At 47.6% G+C, this 25,603-nt stretch overlaps 1 protein-coding gene across 1 annotated transcript; it reads left to right on the top strand.

The window, feature by feature from the left end:
- Window positions 1-732: 732 nt before the first annotated feature.
- NPIPB3 (nuclear pore complex interacting protein family member B3) lies at window positions 733-23,982 on the top strand. Its single transcript, NM_130464.3, is given in 12 exon segments — window positions 733-811; window positions 975-1,132; window positions 11,026-11,154; window positions 14,770-14,869; window positions 14,982-15,177; window positions 19,252-19,312; window positions 19,422-19,457; window positions 20,818-21,603; window positions 21,605-21,729; window positions 21,732-21,874; window positions 21,876-22,877; window positions 23,130-23,982. Coding segments are annotated over 11 exon segments (3,396 nt in total). The 5' UTR covers window positions 733-811; window positions 975-1,012; the 3' UTR covers window positions 23,828-23,982.
- The last annotated feature ends 1,621 nt before the right edge of the window (window positions 23,983-25,603 follow it).

Genomic DNA, 25,603 nt, shown 5'->3' with positions numbered 1-25,603 from the left:
GATCCTCCAGCTACCTCACGGGGCTGGCACAGGTGACCACTGCCCTGGCATCACCCAGCTGTGTCCGGCAGCCTGAACCCCATCTGTGGGGATGCGAGGAGGAAAATACAAAAGTCCTTAGGTGAACACTGAGAAGGCAGATGCAGCAGAAACCTCCAGGCCAGAACTACCCAGTCTTGGACCTATGGTGGAGATAGAGCATAGCTGGCGATCATGTGTACTTACACTCTAAGGTCACCTGGTTGCACTATGGCCTCATCTGTGGCTCTGAAAATGAAGATTTGGAAGGAGATCATCACAGCTAATGTTTAACAAGCCCCTCCTGTGTGCCAAATCATTCACCCCTCACCACAACCGAATGAGCTAAGGATTCTCATTATATATAGTTTATGGAGAGGGAAGTGCAGACATAAAGAGGTGAATTATCTTACCCAGATCACACAGCTGATAAGTGGTGGAGGCAGAATAGAATCTAAACAGTGTGGCTCCGGAGCCCACATGCATTGATTCGACAAGTGTTTATTGAGCACCTGCCGCGGACAAGGCCTTGTGTGATTAAATAGGGTTATAATTAGTAATATAAAAATGAGAAATCACTAATGCTTTTTAGACTTAACATTTTGTTTTTTTGTAGGTTTCAGGCACAGAACTGTATATCCAATAATAGTGAAATGGATCCCACTAATTATGACAGAAATGATGATACATTTAAATGACTTGGATGTTTTATAGGTATGATCTCGTGAAATCTTGAGAGAAACTGAATGACGAATGAAACTATTGTTCCTGTTTCACACAGAAGAAAACTGAGGTTAAAAGGGGTAAAGTAATTTTGCATGGCATGAAGTAGAAATTCAAAGTACAGGAATTTGAACTTGGTTCTGTCCTTTTCTGAAGCCCTTGACCACTATAGACTCAAACATCACCTTGTTTTTCCACTCATTCAACACTTTTTTTTTTAAATTATCTAATAGGTTGGCACTCATCATGAGCCCCTGTTCTCATTCTGCAAATGGTGAAGCTCTCTATTGTCCTGACCCCACAGTTCCTGTCCCATGACCAGGGCCAGCTCACCAAGGAGCTGCAGCAGCATGTAAAGTCAGTGACATGCCCATGCGAGTACCTGAGGAAGGTGAGTGAGTGCAGACAGATGGGGCCTGGTGCCCTTGAGCAGTTCCCGGGTCTCAGCTGCCACACATCTCATAGCCGGTGATGCTGGGGGAAGCTTACGCAGTCACAGTACTGGCTTCTTCCTCTTTTTCTTTCCATACAAGTGGCTTAGGGATGGGGTAGAGTAGTTGACTTATTTGGATGAAAACCACTATCTTCTGTCAGAAACTCAAAAGGAATCATTGCTGGCATGGTAACCTAAAGAAAAACAACCAGACAAGTGCCCAACGACACTTAAAAAGGTGATTTATTAGCTTGCCAAGTTTAGGCTGGGCATGGTGACTCATGCCTCTAATCCCAGCATTTTGGGAGGCTGAGGCTGGTGGATCACCGGAGGCCAGGACTTTGAGACCAGCCTGACCAATATGGCAAAACCTCGTCCCTACTAAAAATACAAAAATTAGCCGGGCATGGTGGTGTGAGCCTGTAGTCCCAGCTACTCAGGAGGCTGAGACAGGAGAATTGCTTAGATTCAGGAGGTGGGGGTTTTAGTGGGCCGAGATCACGCCATTGCACTCCAGACTGTGCGACAGAGCGAGACTCTGTCAAAAAAAAAAAAAAAAAATTATCCTGCAAAATTTGAAAAGGAAATTCAAATCAACAGCTTCTAAACTACTTTTTAACATGACTCATAATAATACATTCTATAGTACATATGTATGTTCTATAACTTTGAATAAAAGAGTTAACCACATCACATTTATTTTATAACATGTAATACATATTTTTTATTCTCCTTCATTTGTTTTGAATGCTCTGTGCAGTCTACAAAAAGTCCAATAGTAATAATTAAATTAGTCATTAAGTTGAACATTATCTTGTCTTTTAAAATGATAATCTCAAAAATGATCTTTTATTTTTGAGATTTATATAGATACACACACACACACACACACACACACACACACACACACACACACACACACACACACATATTTTTTGAGACAGAGTTTCACTCTGTCCCCCAGGCTGGAGTGCAATGGCACAATCTTGGCTCACTGCAACCTCTGTCTCCCGGGTTCAAGCAATTCCTCTGCCTCAGCCTCTGAGTAGCTGGGACTACAGGTGTGTGCCACCATGCCCAGCTAATTTTTGTATTCTTAGTAGAGATGGGGTTTCACCATATTGGCCAGGCTCGTGTCAACTCCTGACCTCGTGATCTGCCCACCGCGGCCTCCCAAAGTGCTGGGACTATAGGTGTGAGCCGCTGCACCCGGTCCAAGTAAAATTATTTTAACAATATACTATGAAGAGAAAAACACTGGCTATGAAAGAATATGCATAGTTTTACCCTGTTTAAAAATAAAGATTGAAAGAATACATATGCAAATAAGTTTACTTTTATTTTTGGTAACACTTTACTGCATTGTCTGAATATTGACAATCAGTATGCATTATGAAGCTACCTGGCTAACATTGTGTACTCACTGTGTGTGCCAGGCCCTGGGTTCAATGCTCTACATGCACTTATATTTCATTTAATTCTCTCTGCAACCTGAGATGGTATAGCCACCTCATTTTACAGAGTTGAAACTGAGGCTCAGAGACTGAAAGTTAAGCCTGAGGTTGCAGTCAATAAGAGGCAGAGCTGGAACTGAAACCTACCTGTGTCTGACCACCAGTTCGTGTTCTGACGGCAGGCTAGTCTGCATCACAGAGTGTGGAGTAGATGGTGCATGCCTGCTAGGATGGGCTAGGTATCACTGTAGGTAAGAAACAGCCCCAAACTATGGAAATGTACACCACTGAAGGCTCTTTTCCTGCCCATGCTGCACATCCTCCATGGCTCTCCTGTGCCCTGTGCCCCACATGCCCTCATCCTGCCACGAGAATAAAGGAGCAGCCTCCATATGGGAGCTGTCAGCTGCTCTAAGAGATGAAGGAGAGAGTGGCCCGTCTCAATGGCTCCCAACTCTTCTGCCTCGAGGTGACACGCTTCACTTCCACGCACATCTCCTGGGTCAAAGCAAATCCCATGGGTACATCCACTTTCAAGTGGCCCAGGAGAGAACCTGAAATACTCGGTGGACTCCATTAAGGCCGTCATATGGTGTCAGCCTGCATGGGAGACTGTGGAGGGGCAGAGGAGGAGAGTGGGGAACTGATGGGAAATGACAGGAGGACTAAGTCACCGCAGATTTGCTTTATCTTCAGCCAGGTGGAGTTTGTCCCAGAGCCGCACAAAATCATCACCAGCATGATTAAACGGAGTAGACTTCAGAAAAAGCAGTTTGGTCGGATGTAATCAGCAGTGAACTCAGAATCAATTGAGTGACATTGAGTCAGTAAATCTCTGACTGCCTCAGTTACCCCATATGATAGTTTTGAGGATGGGAACATTGAGAGAGTTGATTTGGAAGGATATCAAGAGTAAAAATTCCAACATTTTTAGTTCCTTTAAGTTAAATCCAGGCACTGTCTTTCCTGCAAGTCTCCTGTTCCTTTCAGATTGCACAGGTGAGAGTGCTCAGATTAGGGCTGGAGGTTGTAAACCATTGCTCCCACACTGACAGTGCCCCCGTGTCGTGCGTGTATTCTGCGCATTTTCCTGTGCTAAACACTCTCCCAAAACATCGTGGGGCCTGATTCTTCCTCTTTGTTCCAATGGCCCTGGGTGACTCAAGTGCCCATTCAATGACCAGGACACAGAGGTCTTAGAGAGATGCTCCTTGAGGCCCCAGGTGCGAGCCTGTACCCTGCCGGAGCATGAGGCAAGGGACAGGGCATCGTCTGTGGGGATAGTGGGGGTAGTGGGGGTAGTGGTCAGCCAGATTTGGTGACTCTACTTGCTCACCAGACGATCCTACACCTGCCACCTCCGATGGATCCACTGCCTCTGTGCCTGCCTGTACTGCTGATGCTCCAGTGGATAACTCAGCATCCCAGCCTAGGCCCAATGCCACTGAAGATGGACCTGCCCCCTGGGGACCCAGGAGTCCTACCACTCAGCTGTCCCCAGGAGTGCCCAGACCCTCATTCTTATCCAGGACCTAGGAGCCCTACCCCTGGCCTTCCCTCATCAGCCGTAAATGATGATTTACTGCTGTTACCATCATCACTGCCTTCAGTGACCAAGGGCCTTCCAAGGTGCCAGCTCTGGAACGAAGGATGCCCTTGGGAGGTGATGACACTCAGGTACACGGGTGCTCAGCAGATTGCTTCCTCCTATCCTCAGACGGTCTTTGCATGCATGCAGCCATTGGCACTCCCATTGTGTGGAAGGAAACCAGCCCAGGGTCACACAGCTGGTCAGCAGCAACATAGCTGGTCTCAAATCTAAGGTGCCTGACCATGCCTCCATGAGGGACCGCCTCCAAGGGAGGTTGATCCTGGCTTTGGGGAGCCTTTCCTGGGCTGCACGAATAACCTCCATTGTTCGAGACCCCAAACTCTGCTCACATCTTCCTTTCCCTATCTCTGCTTGGGCTATGATCACGGTGACTCTAGCAGCCCTTCATGGACATTATAGTACTCTCTGCCATTCACTTTTGCTCTAATCTGACTTCAACCCCCACTTACTTGGTCTCTCCTTTTACAACCACCACAACCGAAATCTAGGGCTGCTTTTTTTTTTTTTTTTTTTTTTGAGACAGAGTCTCATTCCATTCTGTCACCCAGGCTGGAGTGCAATGGTACGATCTCGGCTCACTGCAACCTCCGCCTCCCGGGTCCAAGGGATTGTCCTGCCTCAGCCTCCTGAGTAGCTGGGATTACAGGCGTGTGCCACCATGCCTGGCTAATTTTTGTATTTTTAGTAGAGACGGGGTTTCACCATGTTGGTCAGGCTGGTCTCGAACTCCTAACCTCGTGATCCGCCTGCCTCAGCCTCCCAAAGTGCTGGGATTACAGGCGTGAGCCACCATGCCCAGCCAAATCTAGGGCAGGAACATGGCTGCAGCATATAAAAAGAATTGAATTCCATACTTTTGTTAACCCTGTTTTTTGTTTGTTTGTAGTTGTTGCTGTTTTTGAGACAGAGTCTCGCTCTGTCGCCTAGGCTGGAGTGCAGTGGTGCAATCTCGGCTCACTGCAGACTCTGCCTCCCGGGTTCAAACTATTCTCCTGCCTCAGCCTCCCAAGTAGGTGGGACTACAGGCGCCCACCACCACACCCGGCTAATTTTTGTATTTTATTAGAGACAGGGTTTCACCATATTGGCCAGGCTGGTCTGGAACTCCTGACCTTGTGATCCGCCCACCTCGGCCTCCCAAAGTGCTGGGATTACAGGCGTGAGCCACCACACCCAGCCCCTGTTTTGTTTTTGTTTTGCTTGCTTCTTAGGGTTGTTTTTCTATTTATGGTAAAGGCATTGGCTTTCCATTTGTAGCATCAATAGAATATTTCCTGTTTACAATAACCTTATGTCATAGTAAATGGTAAAGGGATTTAAAGCAGTGGTTTTCAGCTGCCAGAGGCCTGAGAGAGTTTGGGCATACTCTGTGTGATCGGGCAGAAGGCCTGTGGGAAGTTTAGCAGAGGACAGGGCCAGGAAAGGTGATGGACAGTGGGGGTCTGTCCTGGTCACCAGGCCCCTGGGTCCTGCCCACCTGCTTGGAGCTCCCCACCCATCACACATGATGCTGCCAAGCCCTCTGGGTATTGTGGGCAAATACCTTAGGAGAGAAGCTGATGAACTTTGTTTCTTGAAATGCACAGATTCCTTGGACGTCCCTGAGAGCTCAGTCATGAAAGTCAACTTGGTTTTCTCCCCCTCATTTGGGTTCAGAATTTAAAGTCCACACACACAGGCAGTAAGATGATATAGATAAGGACGTCATCACTCGGTTTCGGATGTTAAAATGTCTAGGTGGGTTAGCGGTGATTTGAGATCACACAACCTTGTGCCACAAAGAGGAATTCCCAGGCCAGAGGGAGACATTTTATTGCCATGTTATGATCTCATTATTGAGTTGAAAGGCAATCTTGTTTCATTTTGGATTCTTTCTTATGTTTATGTCTTATAAGGGCACTTTGAATTTCCAAGCAAATAATAATTTTGAATTAGCTTTTAATCATTGACTTCTAGCACAGTTATATGATCAGAAACATGCTGTGTGATTTGATTGCTCTCAAATATATTGAGATTTGCTGGAACAAAATAAGTCAGGTTAATTTTTGTAAATGTACCAGGCATGCTTAAAATGAATGTATCTACATTTGTTCCTGAGATACAGGTTGATGGACGGATGGCTACATGGATGTGATGGAGATGGTTTACTATCGGGACCTTCCGCACCCTGCTGATGTTTTGTTGCTTAGGATATGAATGGCTGAGCGGAGGCTGTAAAACCTGGCACTCTGCTTGGGTATGAGGTTCTTCCTGCCATCCTGCCATCATTTGTTTTTTATGTTTTGTCGCCATAAGTGACCTTGAGGAACCCTGGGAGCTCAGGAAGGAAGGAGCGCCCAGAAGCAGGGACAGGGAGCTGGTTGGGGAGGACCAGAAATCAGGTTTGTGAAGGTTCCAGAGAGGACCTGTCTTTGGGAGGAGTGTGGGAGACTGAGATGGGGGAGGGGTCATTGGAATGATGCGGGCGCTACTTGGCATTGTCCATTGTGAGGCACTGTCCATTGTGAGGCACCACCGGGGTCATCAGGGATTGGTGGAGAGGGAGTATAAAGCCCCAGGGTTGGTAAGGGAGGGCCCAGACCGAAGAAGGTTTGGTGGATAGCAGAACCTTTTTGTCTCCCTCTGATTGCTCCTAAGCCTCACGCTCCCTTGCCCCGCGTGTCCTGTTGCTTCCCTGATCTTCTCCGTGACCTGTAGCTAAACCTTCCACCAGCGCTTGAGAACTTAATTTGAACCGGATCCTTTCCCAGACCCCTTTCTTCTTCTCCTCCTCCTCCTCCACCTCCTCCAGGTGCCCAACAGCCCCCTTCTCCTCCTTTCCCTTCCCTTACTTCCCCCCTTCCCCTCCCCTTCCCCTCCCCCTCCCCTCCCCCTCCCCCTCCCCAACTCAGATCCGGCCCCGGTCCCCGTCCCCTTCCCTCCCCCCTGCCCTAAGCCACCTCCACCTCTGTCCTGGCCGCCTCAGGGCGCCCTGAAAGGACCAGGACATGCGGGTGCGGTGGATGCTCTTTTGGCTCCTCTTTGGGCTCCTACTGGAATTTATCAGCCATCAGTGCATCTCTGTGAGTAGACGCTGGACCCGTGGGGTTTCTTCCTTTTTACTGGGCTGTATCACGTGGCATGAAATTACACAGCTCAGGCCTGTAATCCCAGCACTTTAGGGGGCCGAGGTGGGCAGATCACTTGAGTCCAGGAGTTGAAGACTAGCCAGGGCATCATAGCGAAACCCCATCTCTACAAAAAATTCCAATAAAGATTAGTCGGGCCTGGTGGTGCGTACCTGTTATCCCAGTTACTGGAGAGGCTGAGGTGGGAGGATCGCTTGGGCCCAGGAGCTGGACGTTGCAGTGAGCCGAGATGGCCCCGCTGCACTCTTGTTTTTAACAAAGAAAATGGACCAAAACAAAGTGAAATGTCATTTGATTTGTGTCATCTGGTTTGATGACTTTTTTTTTTTTTTTTTTTTTTTTTAGACAGAGTCTCACTCTGTCGCCCAGGCTGGAGTGCAGTGGCAAGATCTCGGCTCACTGCAACCTCCGCTTCTGGGGTTCAAGCAATTGTCCTGCCTCAGCCTCCTGAGTAGCTCAGATTACAACGCCTGGCTAATTTTTGTATTTTTAGTAGACCACCACGCCTGGCTAATTTTTTTTTTTTTTTTTTTTTTTTTTTTTTTTGAGACGGAGTCTCGCTCTGTCGCCCAGGCTGGAGTGCAGTGGCGGGACCTCGGCTCACTGCAAGCTCCGCCTCCCGGGTTCACGCCATTCTCCTGCCTCAGCCTCCCAAGTAGCTGGGACTATAGGCGCCCGCCACTACGCCCGGCTAATTTTTTGTATTTTTAGTAGAGACGGGGTTTCACCATGTTCGCCAGGATAGTCTCCATCTCTTGACCTCGTGATCTGCCTGCCTCAGCCTCCCAGTGCTGGGATTACAGGCGTGAGCCACCGCGCCTGGCCAAAATATATAACCTTAAGTGTAAGTTTACTAACTTTGGAAAGTACATACACCAGCATAAACCAACCCCCTTTCAAGATCTACATTATTTTATTTATTTATTTATTTATTTATTTATTTATTTTGAGACAGTTTCTCCCTTGTTGCCCAGGCTGGAGTGCAATGGGGCAATATCAGCTCACCGCAACCTCTGCTTCCCAGGTTCGAGCGATTCTCCTGCCTCAGCCTCCCGAGTGGCTGGGATTACAGACATGTGGCACCACTCCCAGCTAATTTTGTATTTTTAGTAGAGATAGGGTTTCTCCATGTTGGTCAGGCTGGTTTTGAACTCCCGACCTCAGGTGATCCGCCCGCCTCGGCCTCCCAAAGCGTTGGGATTACAGGCGTGAACCACCATGCCCAGCCAAGATCTACACTATTATGTCACCCCAGAAAGTGAACTCTCAGTCTTCCCAGCCAGTCTCTTTCTTATCATAGGTTAGCTTGCTTATTCTGGAATTTCGCGTATACAGATGCATGCCATGCCATAGGTACTCTTTTGTGTCTGCTTTGTTCTGCTCAACACCATGTTTCTGAAATCATTACCATTGTTGTATGGTTCTCTAACTTCATCATTTCCATTTCAGACTCAGCATATGCTGAGTTCAACCTGTTGAAGGGCTATCTCTGTTTAATTCACCATCTTGAAAGAAACATTTAAAATTGAGATGTTTTCAAGAATATATAGTTAAATCCTGAGGAATCGACGTAGAAATGTTATCACAAGCTGTCTGAACTTACTCAGGGGAAGTCTTCGTCTTCACTCACATAAGAGTCTAATGGAATTAATATCAACAATCTTAGAGAAATCCCACACTATTCATGCCATTTTCATGATCTCCACCTTGATAATTTTTTTTTTTTTTTTTTTTTTTTTTTTTTTTTTTTTTTGAGACAGAGTCTCGCTCTGTCACCCAGGCTGAAGTGCAGTGGTGCGATCTCGGCTCACTGCAACCTCTGCCTCCCGGGTTCAAGTGATTCTTCTGCCTCAGCCTCCCAAGTAGCTGGAACTATAGGCACGTGCCACCATGCCCTGCTAATTTTTTGTATTTTTAGTAGAGACGGGTTTCACCGTGTTAGCTAGGATGGTCTCAATCTCCTGATCTCGTGGTCCACCCACCTCGGCTTCCCAAAGTGCTGGGATTGCAGGCGTGAGCCACCACGCCCAGCCCACCTTGTTAATTTTTAAGCACTAAAATTTGATACTTATTTGTGAATGAAGTAATCTCTTCATTGTATTTTTTTTTTTTTTACTTATGCTGAGATTTAAATGACAAAGATTCATATAATCCAAGAGAGAAGTATTATTTAGAGGGATTCTTTTACCATGTGATATATAATAAATGCATCCAATGTTATACATCAATTTAAAAAACAAGTAAATAACTTTAAAGAAAAGATAACTACTGGCCAGGTGCAGTGGCTCACACCTGTATTCCCAGCACTTTGGGAGGCCAAGGCAGGTGGATCATGAGGTCAGGAGTTGGAGACCAGCCTGGCCAAGATGGTGAAACCCTGTTTCTACTAAAAATACAAAAATTAGCCGAGCGTGGTGGCAGGCGCCTGTAATCCCAGTTACTCAGTAGCTGAGGCAGGAGAATCGCTTGAACCCGGGAGGCGGAGGTTGCAGTGAGTTGAGATCATGCCACTGCAATCTAGCCTGGGTGACAGAGCAAAACTTTGTCTCAAAACAAAAAGAAAAGAAAAGATAAGATAATTACTTTATACTTAGCTTGTCTTACCCATGAGTGACGGGCTGCATGTGGCCCAGGACAGTTTTGAATGCAGTTCAACACAAATTTGTAAACTTTCTTAAAACATTAGGAGATTTTGGCCAGGTACAGTGGCTCATGCGTGTAATCCCAGCACTTTGGGAGGCTGAGGCGGGCAGATTACCTGAGGTCAGGAGTTCGAGACCACCCTGACCAACATGGCAAAACCCCATCTCCACAAAAAATACAAAAATTTGCTGAGTGCACTGTCAGGCACCTGTACTCCCAGCTACTCAGGAGGCTGAGGCAGGAGAATCACTTGAACCTGAGAGGCAGAGGTTGCAGTGAGCCGGGAGCACACCACTGCACTCCAGCCTGGGTGACAGAGTGAGACCCCATCTCAAAAACAACAAACAAAAACAAAAACAAAAAAATGGCTGGGCACGGTGGCTCACACCTGTAATCCCAGCACTTTGGGAGGCCGAGGTAGGCAGATCGCCTGTCAGGAGTTCAAGGCCAGACTGGCCAACGTGGTGAAACCTCATCTCTACTAAAAATACAAAAATGAGTCGGGCATGGTGGCAGAGACCTGTAATCTCAGCTACTCGGGAGGCTGAGGCAGGAGAATGGCTTGAGCCCAGGAGCTGGAGGTTGCAGTGAGCCGAGATTGCACCACTGCACTCCAGCCTGGGCGACTGAGTGGAGCGGAACTCTGTCTCAAAAAAAAAAAAGAGGTTTTTTTTAGATCATCAGCTATTGTTAGTGTTAGTGTATGTTATGTGTGGCTCAAGACAACTTTGCTTCTTTTAATATAGGCAGGGAAGTCAAAAGATTGGATATCCCTGCTTTATACCAAGAAAGACAACACCCCACATTTGCAATGCCTGAAAACACTACCAGCCATCTGAAAAACATGTGACTTCTAACTTCTGTTCTTTTTTGTAGCAGTGGAATCCCACGGTGATATCTGAGGGATGTGGTTACCTTTTGGAGGAGGTTGACGGTTTCTAAGGATGATTCTTTCTGAGTGAAATATTGTCAGTGTCATTGACCTTTTCATTATTTCAACTATTATTATTCCAGGTTATCAATACTCTGGCTGACCATCATCATCGTGGGACTGACTTTGGTGGAAGTCCTTGGTTACATGTCATTATTGCGTTTCCGACAAGTTATAAAGTTGTCATTACCCTCTGGATAGTTTACCTTTGGGTGAGTATACTAACTTTCTGTAGAGGTATACTTGTAATCACAAATAAGAATAAATTATATAAAACAATTCACATTTCTGGACTTCATTATGAATATGTGGTTTTACCCAAAAAATCAGGGAAATGATTTATTAGTATAAGAATTATGAAAACATCTGCCATTTGCATTATGAAAATTAAATAGGTCGGTGTTTGTTTAATAGAATGTCAACAGAGCTTTTGGTCAAAAATAAGTTTTTTTAACCTTTGTGCTATTTATCACAAATGGAGTATGAGGTTTCGTCACTTAAATAGGAAATTCTTTCTAAACTCTTCTGCTTTATAGTTCTATCGTATGGGTGGAAGGAAAGCTTCCAATCTCCTCTCTGAAGATTCACTGCAGAAATGAGCTGACAACAGACAGCTTAACAGGAAAAGAAAAACATAGAACAGGCATAAACATGGGAACCAGCTGAAAAATGAGACTGCTAGAAGGGCCGGATGGCTGATGCTTAAAGAGCACCCTCTTCTGAGGGGAGAGGGAGATAGATGGAGATGTAGGCCATTTAGAGGGGCAGCAAATGATTTTTAGGGGAAATGAAAGAGGCCAAGGAACAAACAATTGGCCTGAGACAAAGTTCCTGTGAGGTCATAGGGACGAGGTGACAAACTGCCGGAAGGTGAAGGGCAGAACTGCACTGCGTCTCATGATGCAGAGAAAGCCCCAGAGACTCTTAGAACTGCCCTCCAAGAGAATCAATGAAAAGTGTGTCTGGGCAGGGTAATTTTGAATGACATCATTCAAAGTGCATGTTCCGACTTGGAACTGGAGAGAGATCAGTATGTCAAAAGTCTGTACTTGGTAAGAATTTGGCTGCTAAGTTGTGCCATAATTTGTCTTTTGAGCCTTTTTTCCTTTGGGTAAGTTGAGCTCTACATTTTGTCTTGCCATTCATGACAGTAAAAATGTGGTTGTCTGGGGGCTGAACCTCCTTCTGAACAATGATCCAAGATAAAAGTACTAATACCACAATGCTTTTTTATATTCAAGGGAAGAGGAAGTATGTTTCAGTTTTACCACCTAGATAATTACACGTCATTTGGCACTGCCTTTCAAGATATGTAGAAAACAGAAAATATATGAGTTATGAAGATATCTAGGCACATTTAACATTCTCTATGCCACTTAGTCCTGAACAGAGAATTTTCGGTATAAATTGGAGGAAGCTTTTTTCTTTTTTTTTTTTCTTTTCTCACCCCGAAGACGAGTCTCCTTCTGTTGCCCAGGCTGGAGTATAATGGTGTGACCTCGGCTCACTGCAACCTCCACCTCCTGGCTTCAAGTGATTCCCCTGCCTCAGCCTCTCAAGTAGCTGGGATTACAGGTGCCCACCACCATGCCCAGCTAATTTTTGTATTTTTAGTAGAGTCGGGGTTTTACCATGTTGGCCAGGCTAGTCTCAAAACCCGACCTCAAATGATCCACCCACCTCAGCCTCCCAAAGTGCTGGGATTACAAGCGTGAGCCACCACGTGAGCCAGGGGAAGTTTTTAAATTTACCACTTTTTAACAATTCCACTTAGGAAAGTTCAGTTGAGCTGTTGGACTTGGACAACTTCGCACCTCTCATCTTTGTCCTTGTCATCTAGTCATCTATACCATTACCTCCTTAGCAGGGACATCATGGGTGCCATGAAGCATTCATGCGTGATGGCATTTCTTGGCTTCTCATTTCTTCATGTGTTTGACATTTCCCCTAGCTCCAAACTGGGCCAGCTACCTTTCCTATGAAATCTAGCAGTAGCTGTGGGATTGACGTGGTTGCTCTTTTCATCTTTTTAGATTACCCATTGCTTCTCTCGAAATCCTAGTACATGATTTTTTTTTTATCCTATGTGCAGAAATCAGGAAAAAACAAATTCTACAAAGAATTTGAAAGATATTATTTCAGGCCAGGTGTGGTGGCTCATGCCTGTAATCCCAGCACTTTGGGAGGCTGAAGCAGATGGATCATTTGAGGTCAGGAGTTCAAGACCAGATGGGCCAACATGGTGACACCCCATCTCTACTAAAAAGACAAAAATTAGCCAGGCATGGTAGCAGGCACCTGTAATCCCAGCTACTTGGGAGGCTGAGGCACAAGAATCGCTTGAATCTGGGAGGTGGAGGTTGCCGTGAGCCAAGGTAGCGCCACTGCACTTCAGCACGGTTGAGAGTGACACTCTGTCTCAAGAAAAAAGTCATTTCAATGACCACCTCAGGAGATTCATAGGTATCTGACCCACATCTGAGATGGGATTTGCATTGCATTTTAGCTATGATGAGAAGAAATATTTAATATCTTAGAAGATTAAAAGCATACTGTGATAATATGGAAATCTTGGTGGGAATTCAGTCATTAGTGAGAATGTTTTGCGTTAAGTTCAAACCAGCCTCAATGAAGCTGATGTGAGGGAAGGGAAAGTGAACTCTGAGTAGAGCAGGGACAGAAGGAAGATGCTCCAGTGCAGATCAGGAAGGAGCAGGGGATGAAATGTTACAAATTCTAGAACTCAGAGAGCTGAAGGTAATTACTTCCTTTTCAAGTTGTGAAACATGTTAACCTGTGGTAAAATACTTATAAGATGATAATTACCATCTAACCGTGTTGAAGTGTACAGTTCAGTTGTGTGAAGTATATTCATGTCATTTTTTTTTTTTTTTTTTTTTTGAGACGAAGTCTCACTCTGTCACCAGGCTGGAGTGCAGTGGTGGGATCTTGGCTCACTGCAACCTCTGCCTCCTGGGTTCAAGCAGTTCTCCTGCCTCAGCCTCCCGAGTAGCTGGGACTACAGGCGTGCATCACCATGCTCAGCTAATTTTTGTATTTTTAGTAGAGACGGGGTTTCACCATGTTGCCCAGGATGGTCTCCATCTCTTGACCTTGTGATTCACCCGCCTCGGCCTCCCAAAGTGCTGGGATTACAGGCGTGAGCTACCGCATCTGGCCTATTTTTTTTTTTTTTTTTTTTTTTTTTTTGAGACAGAGTTTCAATTTTGTTGCCCAGGTTGGAGTGCAATGGCACAATCTCAGCTCACCACAAGCTTTTCCTGCTGGGTTCAAGTGATTCTCCTGCCTCAGCCTCCCGACTAGCTGGGATTACAGGCATGCACCACCATGCCTGGCTAATTTTGTATTTTTAGCAGAGACAGCGTTTCTCCATGTTGGTGAGGCTGGTCTCAAACTCCCGACCTCAGGTGATCCGCCTGCCTCGGCCTCCCAAAGTGCTGGGATTACAGGAGTGAGCCACCGTGCCAGCCTCATGTCATTCTTGTGTGTGTGTGTGTGTATGTGACAGAGTCTCATTCTGTCGCTCAGGCTGGAGTGCAGTGGTGTGATCTCGGCTCACTGCAACCTCCGCCTCCCAGCTTCAAACGGTTCTCTGCCTCAGCCTCCCGAGTAGCTTGGATTACAGGCGCCCGCTGCCATGCCCGGCTAATTTTTGTATTTTTAGTAGAGACGGGGTTTCACCATCTTGGCCAGGCTGGTCTTGAACTCCTGACCCCGTGATCCACCTGCCTCGGCCTCCCGAAGTACTGGGATTATACGCATGAGCCACCGTGCCCAGCCGTCATTCTTATATTATTATTTCCTAGGTGTCTCTCCTGAAGACTATCTTCTGGTCTCGAAATGGACATGATGGATCCACGGATGTACAGCAGAGAGCCTGGAGGTCCAACCGCCGTAGACAGGAAGGTATGGCTCTGTTGGAATCCGCATAGTGTGGAAATGAGTTTGCCCTGGAAAGGGAAAGAACAGCTTCTTGCCCTCAGGTTTCTCACCTTCTCCTCTCCTCACTCTCACCAAGGGCTGAGGTCCATTTGTATGCACACAAAGAAAAGAGTTTCTTCCTTTCGAGGAAATAAAATTGGCCTGAAAGACGTCATTACTCTACGGAGACATGTGGAAACAAAAGTTAGAGCTAAAATCCGTAAGAGGAAGGTGACAACGAAAATCAACCATCATGACAAAATCAATGGAAAGAGGAAGACCGCCAGAAAACAGTAAGATGTGCCTTGACACAAATACTGTTGTATGAACCATGTGCCAATCAAAGTAGACAACTGTAAAGTCCTTGAGAATATTTTCTACAATATTTGTGGCAAATTCAGTGGGTTCAAAATTGAGTTTGTCCTTTCTGCTTCATTAGTTTAAGCTGTATAATTCCTTTCCCTTCCTACATTCTTGTTTTCATTTTTTCGGAGGAAGAGGAGTTGCTAGTACTGGCATTGGTTTTCCTTTCTCTTTTTTTTTTTTTTTTTTTTTCCTGAGATGGAGCTTTGCTGTTGTTGCCCAGGCTGTAGTGCAATGGCACAATCTCAGCTCACTGCCTTTTGGGTTCAAGCAATTCTCCTGCCTCAGCCTCCCAAGTAGCTGGGATTACAGGTGCCCACCACCACGCCCAGCTAATTTTTGTATTTTTACTAGAGATGGGGTTTCACCATGTTGTCCAGGCTGGTCTCGAACTTCTGACCTCAGGTAATCCACCTGCCTCAGCCTCCCAAAGTGCTGGGATTAGAGGCGTGAGCCACCACAGCCAGCCTTTTTTTTTTTTTTTTTTTTTTTAATTTTGCGATAGAGTCTCGCTCTGTCGCCCAGGCTGGAGTGCTATGGTGCAATCTTGGCTCACTGCAACCTCTGCCTCCCAGTTTGAAGCAATTCTGCCTCAGCTTCCCGAGTAGCTTGGATTACAGGTGTGTGCCACCACATTTGACCAATTTTTTTTTTTTTTTTTTTTTTGAGACAGAGTCTCACTCTGTCACCCAGGCTAGAGTGCAGTGGCATGATCTTGGCTCACTGCAACCTCCACCTCCCAGGTTCAAGCGATTCTTATCCCTCAGCCTCTTGAGTAGCTGGGACTACAGGCATATGCCACCATGCCCGGATAATTTTTGTATTTTTAGTAGAGGCGGGGTTTCACCATATTGGCCAAGCTGGTCTAGAACTCCTGACATGATCCGCACACCTCGGCCTCCCAATGTGCTGGGATTACAGGCGTGAGCCACCGTGCCCGGCCCAATTTTTGTATTTTTAGTAGAGACAGGGGTTCACCATGTTGGCCAGGCTAGTCTTGAACTCCTGACCTCAGGTGATCTGCCTACCTCAGCCTCCCAGTGTGAGCCACCGCACCCAGCCTGGATTGTTGAATTCAATGCTTGGGTCACCTCCAGATTCATTTTCACAGTCTTTCATGTTTTGGTCATATGACATTGTATTTTGCTGCCATATGACTGATCTTTTTTTGTTAAATGTGAGATACTTGTTAAAAAATGTTTAGCAATGAATTGAGGCCTAGTAGCATGTTATCTTGCTGCAGAAGAGATGGGAGTCTACTTCTGGGGGATGGTCAGGGGTCCTCCATACAGGCTGCAATTGAAGTCATCGGTGCAGGCTCAGTCCCTACAAAGGCCAGGGTATTTCCTGTCCACCTTTATTCTGATGCATGACTCTTCTGGGTCTCAACCAGAGCCAGTGGACTTCAGTATGGGTCGCTTTCATTGGCAGACCCTCAATCCACTTGTTTTCCATCTAATCCCACGCATGTGTGCAAAAGCTGCTGTGCTTCTTTGCATCTCAGTAGTTCCTTCTGGAATTCAGCAATGAAACTCAGGGAAATGGGTTCCAAATGCGAGGCTGACTTTCGTCCTGGGTTTCCTTCTTCTCCATCTTCACCTCATGTCTGTTTACTGCCATGTTAGCAATTTGATGTATTCAATCATGGGTTTTATATTCTGTTTGGTGTCCCCCATTGTTCTCATCGGAGATCAGAAGCTTCAGATGCACTTATGTCAACTCAAGAGTAGAATGCTTCCTTAGCTTCCCTCCAGAGTCAGGTTTTGTGTTTCTAGTTCCCAAGTGCACAGCAGGAGTAGTGATGTCCTCACTGGCTTCTCATTTGCATTAAGCTGTGAGCTTCTTTAGCGTGGGGACAGGACCCTGCTCCCATTGCATTCTCAGCACCACACCACACACTCCTTGTTTGAGGCCACTCCAGACAGCATGTGCTGAAGGATGCCTTGTGGTCAGAAACAAGTTCATTAACTTTCTCTTTGAAGTGTTTTCGCCCCTGTTTCCTAGCGTTCTGGGAATTTTACACATCCTTCCTATAAAGCCAAGTATCAGGTGAGATCCTTAGGATCAGGACCATGAATCAAGTGGTGTGAGGGCAACACAGCAAACTTACCCTTTTGAGGCCGTTTCCTTTTTCTGCCCTCAATCTCTGTGAACTGAACCTTGTTAAAGTCAGTCAACACCAGGGTGGATGGTTTGCCGTTGTCACCTATTTTCAGGACATAACACCCTGACTTAGGAGCCATTCCGATCATTTCTAATTCAATAGATGCGCCCAGCATTCAGATTGCCTTTTCTCTCAACCAGGATCTTTAAAGTCGATGACAAGAGTTCCAGTCCTGAATCATGGCAAAGTGCAGTAGTGAACTGCGGGGTTATTCTGGAAGGATCTCTCTATGGCTGATGGTCTCAGTTCCGGCATCAGCCTCTGACTGAGAATCAGGTCTCACACAGGAGGAGTCAGATGAGGAGCAATCCTCTGCTTCCGATGGAGTTAGTTGTGATGAATTGGTGAGGTCTGGTTTTTCACACTGAACTAAAATGAGCTTTCGCTGTGTCAAGCACAAGACTGACCCCAGAGACACACATAGTGCACCTCATAGAAGCTTTTAATAGTCTTTATATTTACTAAAGAATAGGACTAACTATGGAACTATGAAGATGAGCTGGAAATGACAGGTGACTTGCCAGCAGGCCAGAGTGTGACTTTTTTTTGTCCCTCAATGGGAGGTGTCAATTCTCCCTTCGGTTGTGAGAATCAGTTGGTTCATTTGTGGGAAGGTTGCAGGGGGGATCTTTGAATCACAGCCTTCAGATGCCAGAAGGGCAGAGGGAATCCCACACGGGCTGGTGGATCATGTGTGTGCATTTCTCTCCCTTCTAATCTGAGGAAACTAAGCGTGAAAGAATGTGAGCATGCAGAAAAGGAGAGGCAGGTATCAGAGGCAGAGGAAAATGGGAAATTGGATATGAAAGAAATACACACCTACAAGTGAGTTCAGAAACTGTACCCCACCCTCTTGGGAAACGCCCATTGGAGTGTTGTTTTTAACCTTTGTACAGTATTTAGACCCAGTAAATGCAGAAATAGAAACAAACGGTCAGAAGACATATCGTGAGAGAGAGCGAGAGAGAGTTCACAAAACAGAAAACAAAGTACCTTAATATTTACCAGTGACCAAAAGATGTGAAGTAGCAAAACGTCTCCTGACCCCATTGCCAGCTAGACTGTGTGGAAACTCGGTTCATACCAGCCATTCTAGGGGTGGGGTGAGTTGTTGTCATCCTTAGGAAAGTGTGTTGTTGTAGGATCAACCACATCCTTCAAAAGGACTATGCCTGTTTATAAGCCCAGCTGTTTCTGCCCTGTGAAACACGGTAAGGATATTAATACAAAGAGAATACAGCTTTATGATAAAAGATGCTCAATGAAGGATGAATTAGGGATGTACTGAGAATGGGGAAGGAAACTATCATCTCAGAAGTCAGCAGGCAGTAAGCAAGAGGAGGAATCAATACAGCAACAGTTTGGATCAGACTGTACAGTTTTTTTGTTTTTGTTTTTGTTTTTCTGAGATGGAGTCTCGCTGTGTCACCCAGGCTGGAGTGCAATGACGTGATCTTGGCTCACTGCAACCTCCGCCTCCCAGGTTCAAGTGATTCCCCTGCCTCAGCCTCCCGAGTAGCTGGGATTACAGGTGCCTGCCACCACGCCTGGCTAATTTTTTGTATTTTTAGTAGAGAAGGGGTTTCACCATATTAGCCACAATGGTCTCAATCTCCTGACCTCGTGATCCATCCGCCCCGCCCTCCCAGAGTGCTGGGATTACAGGCGTCAGCCACCGTGACCGGCTCAGACTGTACTCTTCTAGCCATCTGAAATACGTTTTCTAGGTAGAGATAGATTGTGTAAGGGTACAGTTGTGAGGATAACAGAAACATGGCAGATTATTTAAAATCATCCTGAAAGTGGTGCTTTATCTGATGAAAGTGATTGTAATCCATAGGAAAATGTTTCAACGTGCGCAAGAGTTGCGGCGGCGAGCAGAGGACTACCACAAATGCAAAGTAAGGAGCTTCCTCCCTGCAGTTGCAGGATAGTTCAGTGCTGATGCAGATGATGCCACGGCCCTTAGACTCTCTCAACATTCAATTTCTCATGTGTTGGCTTTTTCAGATCCCCCCTTCTGCAAGAAAGGCTCTTTGCAACTGGGTAAGTTTGCTTGTTTTCCTTGCTTTTGGACATAGTCTGCCAGGTCAGGACATGGATACATTTTTCTCCCTACAGCTCTGTGCTCAAGCCCTGCAGAGGGAGATGGCAGAGAGAAAGGCTGCCTACAAGCATCACAGTCCCATCCCTGTTGGTAACCGTGTTGCGCAAAAACACCTTCATCCCCACCCAGTGGGGCCCCTGATCTAATATTCTAAGTGTCAGAGGTTCCGTATTTGTAATAGCAGATGGGCCCTGACTGTAAACTAGTGAAGAGTGAATGTAACTTATTACCCACAGGGACAATTCCAAATGAAGGCCTTAAATGATGCTCAGCTAAGCTGGTTCTTGTGTGGCCTCTGTACCTTCAAAAGCTGCCGAGTCCTATGATTACACGTGATGGGACTTGTACACTTGAAGTGAAACACAGTTTTAAAACTTGCTTTGTTTAGAATTCCCACCTCATTTTTCCATGGACAAAAGTATTCTTTATGTCCTAGTGCACTTACAATTTGGTATTACCTGGGAGTGAAAAGAAATATTACAGCCATGCCTAAGTGACTTCTTGAGGTGAGATTGTTCTGTCAGAAAACCCTCTCCCAGTTCCCCTGCAGCTCTTCAGGAATCCACATCTCTCCAGAGCTCTTTGTTCTCATGGGTGGCACCTCCAGAGTGAAGAAGATCCTTTGTCAAGAAGGGAAACAGAGGGGAAATGAGAGGGTCCTGCAGGCAGAGCTGGAATCAACTTCCACTCTGCCTCTTGCAAGCTGTGTGACCCTGGGCACAATTTCTCCTTCCTCTGGAAACCTCTGTTTTCTTAGATTTGGAGCAGGGTGGTCACACTGACCTTGCAGAGTTCTGAGAATCAGAGACAGAACATAAAAGGCCTGGAAAACATTCTCCAAAAAGAAGCTGCAACATGTGTGGACAGTGGGCTTTTCATGCCTCTCTTACTGTCTCTTACTGTCTGTTGACCTGGTGCAAGAAACATGCTCTGGTGATGGCTGTGAGGGAGGAATGAGGATAGACATAGACACTCCTGTGTCTCAAACATGCTTCTTTATTACTCTGTTATGACTCTGTCTTCCCTGGGGCAGGACCCCAGCCTGCCTACATTTGCAGACAGACACAGTGGCATGTGGAGACAACAGTGTGTCCCAATGACTTTCCTTTACCCTCCAGCTGTCGGCAGTACTCAGTGGAAGGGTGATATTATGACACTGATACTGCTATTTTGAAACCTGGAGGATGGAAAGGTGCAAAAATCTATCACCAGCAACAGAAGGTGCAGACTGTGTTGGTGGCGGTAATTTTGTCCATCAAATGAATATGTGTGAAAACATTCCCTCCTTTGGCCCTACAGGTCAGAATGGCGGCAGCGGAGCATCGTCATTCTTCAGGATTGCCCTACTGGCCCTACCTCACAGCTGAAACTTTAAAAAACAGGATGGGCCACCAGCCACCTCCTCCAACTCAACAACATTCTATAACTGATAACTCCCTGAGCCTCAAGACACCTCCCGAGTGTCTGCTCACTCCCCTTCCACCCTCAGCGGATGATAATCTCAAGACACCTCCCGAGTGTGTGCTCACTCCCCTTCCACCCTCAGCGGATGATAATCTCAAGACACCTCCCGAGTGTGTGCTCACTCCCCTTCCACCCTCAGCGGATGATAATCTCAAGACACCTCCTGAGTGTCTGCTCACTCCCCTTCCACCCTCAGCGGATGATAATCTCAAGACACCTCCCGAGTGTCTACTCACTCCCCTTCCACCCTCAGCTCTACCCTCAGCTCCACCCTCAGCGGATGATAATCTCAAGACACGTGCCGAGTGTCTGCTCCATCCCCTTCCACCCTCAGCGGATGATAATCTCAAGACACCTTCCGAGCGTCAGCTCACTCCCCTTCCACCCTCAGCTCCACCCTCAGCAGATGATAATATCAAGACACCTGCCGAGCGTCTGCGGGGGCCGCTTCCACCCTCAGCGGATGATAATCTCAAGACACCTTCCGAGCGTCAGCTCACTCCCCTTCCACCCTCAGCTCCACCCTCAGCAGATGATAATATCAAGACACCTGCCGAGCGTCTGCGGGGGCCGCTTCCACCCTCAGCGGATGATAATCTCAAGACACCTTCCGAGCGTCCGTACTCCCCTTCCACCCTCAGCTCCACCCTCAGCAGATGATAATATCAAGACACCTGCCGAGCGTCTGCGGGGGCCGCTTCCACCCTCAGCGGATGATAATCTCAAGACACCTTCCGAGCGTCATATCATGCCCTTCCACCCTCAGCAGATGATAATATCAATACACCTGCCGAGCGTCTGCGGGGGCCGCTTCCACCCTCAGCGGATGATAATCTCAAGACACCTTCCGAGCGTCAGCTCACTCCCCTTCCACCCTCAGCTCCACCCTCAGGCAGATGATAATATCAAGACACCTGCCGAGCGTCTGCGGGGGCCGCTTCCACCCTCAGCGGATGATAATCTCAAGACACCTTCCGAGCGTCAGCTCACTCCCCTTCCACCCTCAGCTCCACCCTCAGCAGATGATAATATCAAGACACCTGCCTTCCACCCTCAGCGGATGATCTCAAGACACCTTCCGAGCGTCAGCTCACTCCCCTTCCACCCTCAGCTCCACCCTCAGCAGATGATAATATCAAGATACCTGCTGAGCGTCTGCGGATTCCGCTTCCACCATCAGCCGATGATAATCTCAAGACACCTTCCGAGCGTCAGCTCACTCCCCTTCCACCCTCAGCTCCACCCTCAGCAGATGATAATATCAAGACACCTGCTGAGCGTCTGCGGGGGCCGCTTCCACCCTGAGCGGATGATAATCTCAAGACACCTTCCGAGCGTCAGCTCACTCCCCTTCCACCCTCAGCTCCACCCTCAGCAGATGATAATATCAAGACACCTGCCGAGCGTCTGCGGGGGCCGCTTCCACCCTCAGCGGATGATAATCTCAAGACACCTTCCGAGCGTCAGCTCACTCCCCTTCCACCCTCAGCTCCACCCTCAGCAGATGATAATATCAAGACACCTGCCGAGCGTCTGCGGGGGCCGCTTCCACCCTCAGCAGATGATAATCTCAAGACACCTTCCGAGCGTCAGCTCACTCCCCTTCCACCCTCAGCTCCACCCTCAGCAGATGATAATATCAAGACACCTGCCGAGCGTCTGCGGGGGCCGCTTCCACCCTCAGCGGATGATAATCTCAAGACACCTTCCGAGCGTCAGCTCACTCCCTTTCCACCCTCAGCTCCACCCTCAGCAGATGATAATATCAAGACACCTGCCGAGCGTCTGCGGGGAGCGTCTGCGGGGGCCGCTTCCACCCTCAGCGGATGATAATCTCAAGACACCTTCCGAGCGTCAGCTCACTCCCCTTCCACCCTCAGCTCCACCCTCAGCAGATGATAATATCAAGACACCTGCCGAGCGTCTGCGGGGGCCGCTTCCACCCTCAGCGGATGATAATCTCAAGACACCTTCCGAGCGTCAGCTCACTCCCCTTCCACCCTCAGCTCCACCCTCAGCAGATGATAATATCAAGACACCTGCCGAGCGTCTGCGGGGGCCGCTTCCACCCTCAGCGGATGATAATCTCAAGACACCTTCCGAGCGTCAGCTCACTCCCCTTCCACCCTCAGCTCCACCCTCAGCAGATGATAATATCAAGACACCTGCCGAGCGTCTGCGGGGGCCGCTTCCACCCTCAGCGGATGATAATCTCAAGACACCTTCCGAGCGTCAGCTCACTCCCCTTCCACCCTCAGCTCCACCCTCAGCAGATGATAATATCAAGACACCTGCTGAGCGTCTGCGGGGGCCGCTTCCACCCTCAGCGGATGATAATCTCAAGACACCTTCCGAGCGTCAGCTCACTCCCCTTCCACCCTCAGCTCCACCCTCAGCAGATGATAATATCAAGACACCTGCCGAGCGTCTGCGGGGGCCGCTTCCACCCTCAGCCGATGATAATCTCAAGACACCTCCCTTAGCTACTCAGGAGGCTGAGGCAGAAAAACCACGCAAACCCAAGAGGCAGAGGGCGGCTGAGATGGAACCACCTCCCGAACCCAAGAGGCGGAGGGTCGGTGACGTGGAACCGTCACGCAAACCCAAGAGGCGGAGGGCCGCTGACGTGGAACCATCATCACCCGAACCCAAGAGGCGGAGGGTCGGTGATGTGGAACCGTCACGCAAACCCAAGAGGCGGAGGGCCGCTGACGTGGAACCATCATCACCCGAACCCAAGAGGCGGAGGGTCGGTGACGTGGAACCGTCACGCAAACCCAAGAGGCGGAGGGCCGCTGACGTGGAACCATCATTACCCGAACCCAAGAGGCGGAGGTTGAGCTGAGAAGAGGCCAGTGCACTCAAGCCTGAGCAATAAGAATAAAACCGAGTAGAACAAAATAAAAAATTCAAAAAACAAAACAAAACCCACACTCCAAAAACTAACAAAGAATAAATAAATAATATAAAAATAAAATAAATACTGCAGTCCTTATGTTATTGCTTTGTTTCGATATCTGGTATGATTGCCTGAGGGACCTGAGGTTTTTAATCATAGGGGTTTTTTTTTAATCTTTAGAAGTGGTTGGTTATGTAAAATATTATTATTATTTTTTTTGAGACTGGATTTTGCTGTGTCATCCAGGCTGGAGTGCAGTGGCTCGATCACAGCTCACTGCAGCCTCAACCTCCTGGGCTTCAAGCAATCCTCCTGCCCCAGCCTCCCAAGTAGCTGGGATCACAGATGTGTGCCACCACGCCTGGCCAATGTTAAAAAATCCTTTAACTTTTTTGTAGAGATGCACTCCTGGACTCAAGCGATCCTCCTACTTGTCCCGACCACCAGCCTCTTTCTGATAAACATTTACACTGTTTATTATCTGATGCCATTTCTATCTTCTTCCTTGTCGTCCAGACATCAAAGAATTAGGTTTCTTCAGGGTTTTCTTTTTCAAGTGCTCAGTGTTAAAGATCACTCACATTAGGGCCACACACCACGGCTCATGCCTGTAATCCCAGCACTTTGGGAGCCCGAGGCGGGCAAAGCACTTGAGGTGGGGAGTTTGAGACCAGCCCAGCCAACTTGGGGAAACCCCACCTCTACTGAAAAAAATACAAAAATTAGCTGCGCGTCATGGTGCATGCCTGTAGTCCCAGCCACTTGGGAGGCTGAGGCACGAGAATCGCTTGAACCCAGGAGGCAGAGGTTGTAGTGAGCCGAGATCACATCAGCACACTCTAGCCTGGGTGACAGAGCGAGACTGACTCAAAAAATAAATAAAATAAATATCACTTACATTAGATATACCCAAGGGGTGGTCTATAGAGACTTGGAAGCAGTGGTTATTGCAACAGGGGCACGGAAGTCATCTGGCTATGCCAGGATGCCCAGGAGATACTCGGGGTGGGTGGCATGGTGGTGCTGGGGACTCACCGCACAGGACGCTCTGATTGACGCACTGCCAGGAGTAGCGCTCTGTCTTGGGGCTGCAGCCGGCCTCCTCAGCTCGAGTGTAACATCAGTCGTGGCCATGGCAGCACCTGCGGATGTCATATGGGCAGGACAGCAGGTGGGTGAAGCTCTCTCCTGGCCCTCCTCTCTTGCCAGGACTATGGGTGACTGAAGACCCCCAGGGAGGCACAGCATCCTCTTATCTAAGATTTTTTTTTTTTTAAGAGACAGGGTCTTTCTCTGTCGCCCAGGCTGGACTGCAGAGGCACAATCATAGCTCACGGCAGCCTTGAACTCCTGGGCTCAAGCGATCCTCCCACTTCAGTGTCCCAAGTAGCTGAGACTACAGGCACACGCCAGCATGCCCGGCTGGTTTTTTAATTTGTATTTCCTTTGAGACAGCGTATCTCTCTGTTGCTCAGGCTGGAGTGCAATGGCTCAATCAGCTCACTTTAGCCTTGAACTCCCGGGCTCAAGTGATACTGCCACCTCAACCTCCCAAGTCTGCTACTACAGGAACACAAACTCCTTTTTTAAATTTTTTATGGATATGGGGTCTCACTATGTTGCCTAGGCTGGTCTCGAGCTCCCAGGCTCAGCAGTCCTCCTACCTCAGCCTCCCCAAATGCTGGGATTACAGGTGGGAGCTACTGTACGCCTGGCCTTATC

The sequence above is a fragment of the Homo sapiens genome, chromosome 16 (genome assembly GCF_000001405.40).
Source record: "Homo sapiens chromosome 16, GRCh38.p14 Primary Assembly".
NCBI lineage: Eukaryota > Metazoa > Chordata > Mammalia > Primates > Hominidae > Homo > Homo sapiens.
The sequence above is the reverse complement of the archived record's forward strand: the minus strand, read 5'-3'. Positions and strand labels throughout refer to the sequence as shown.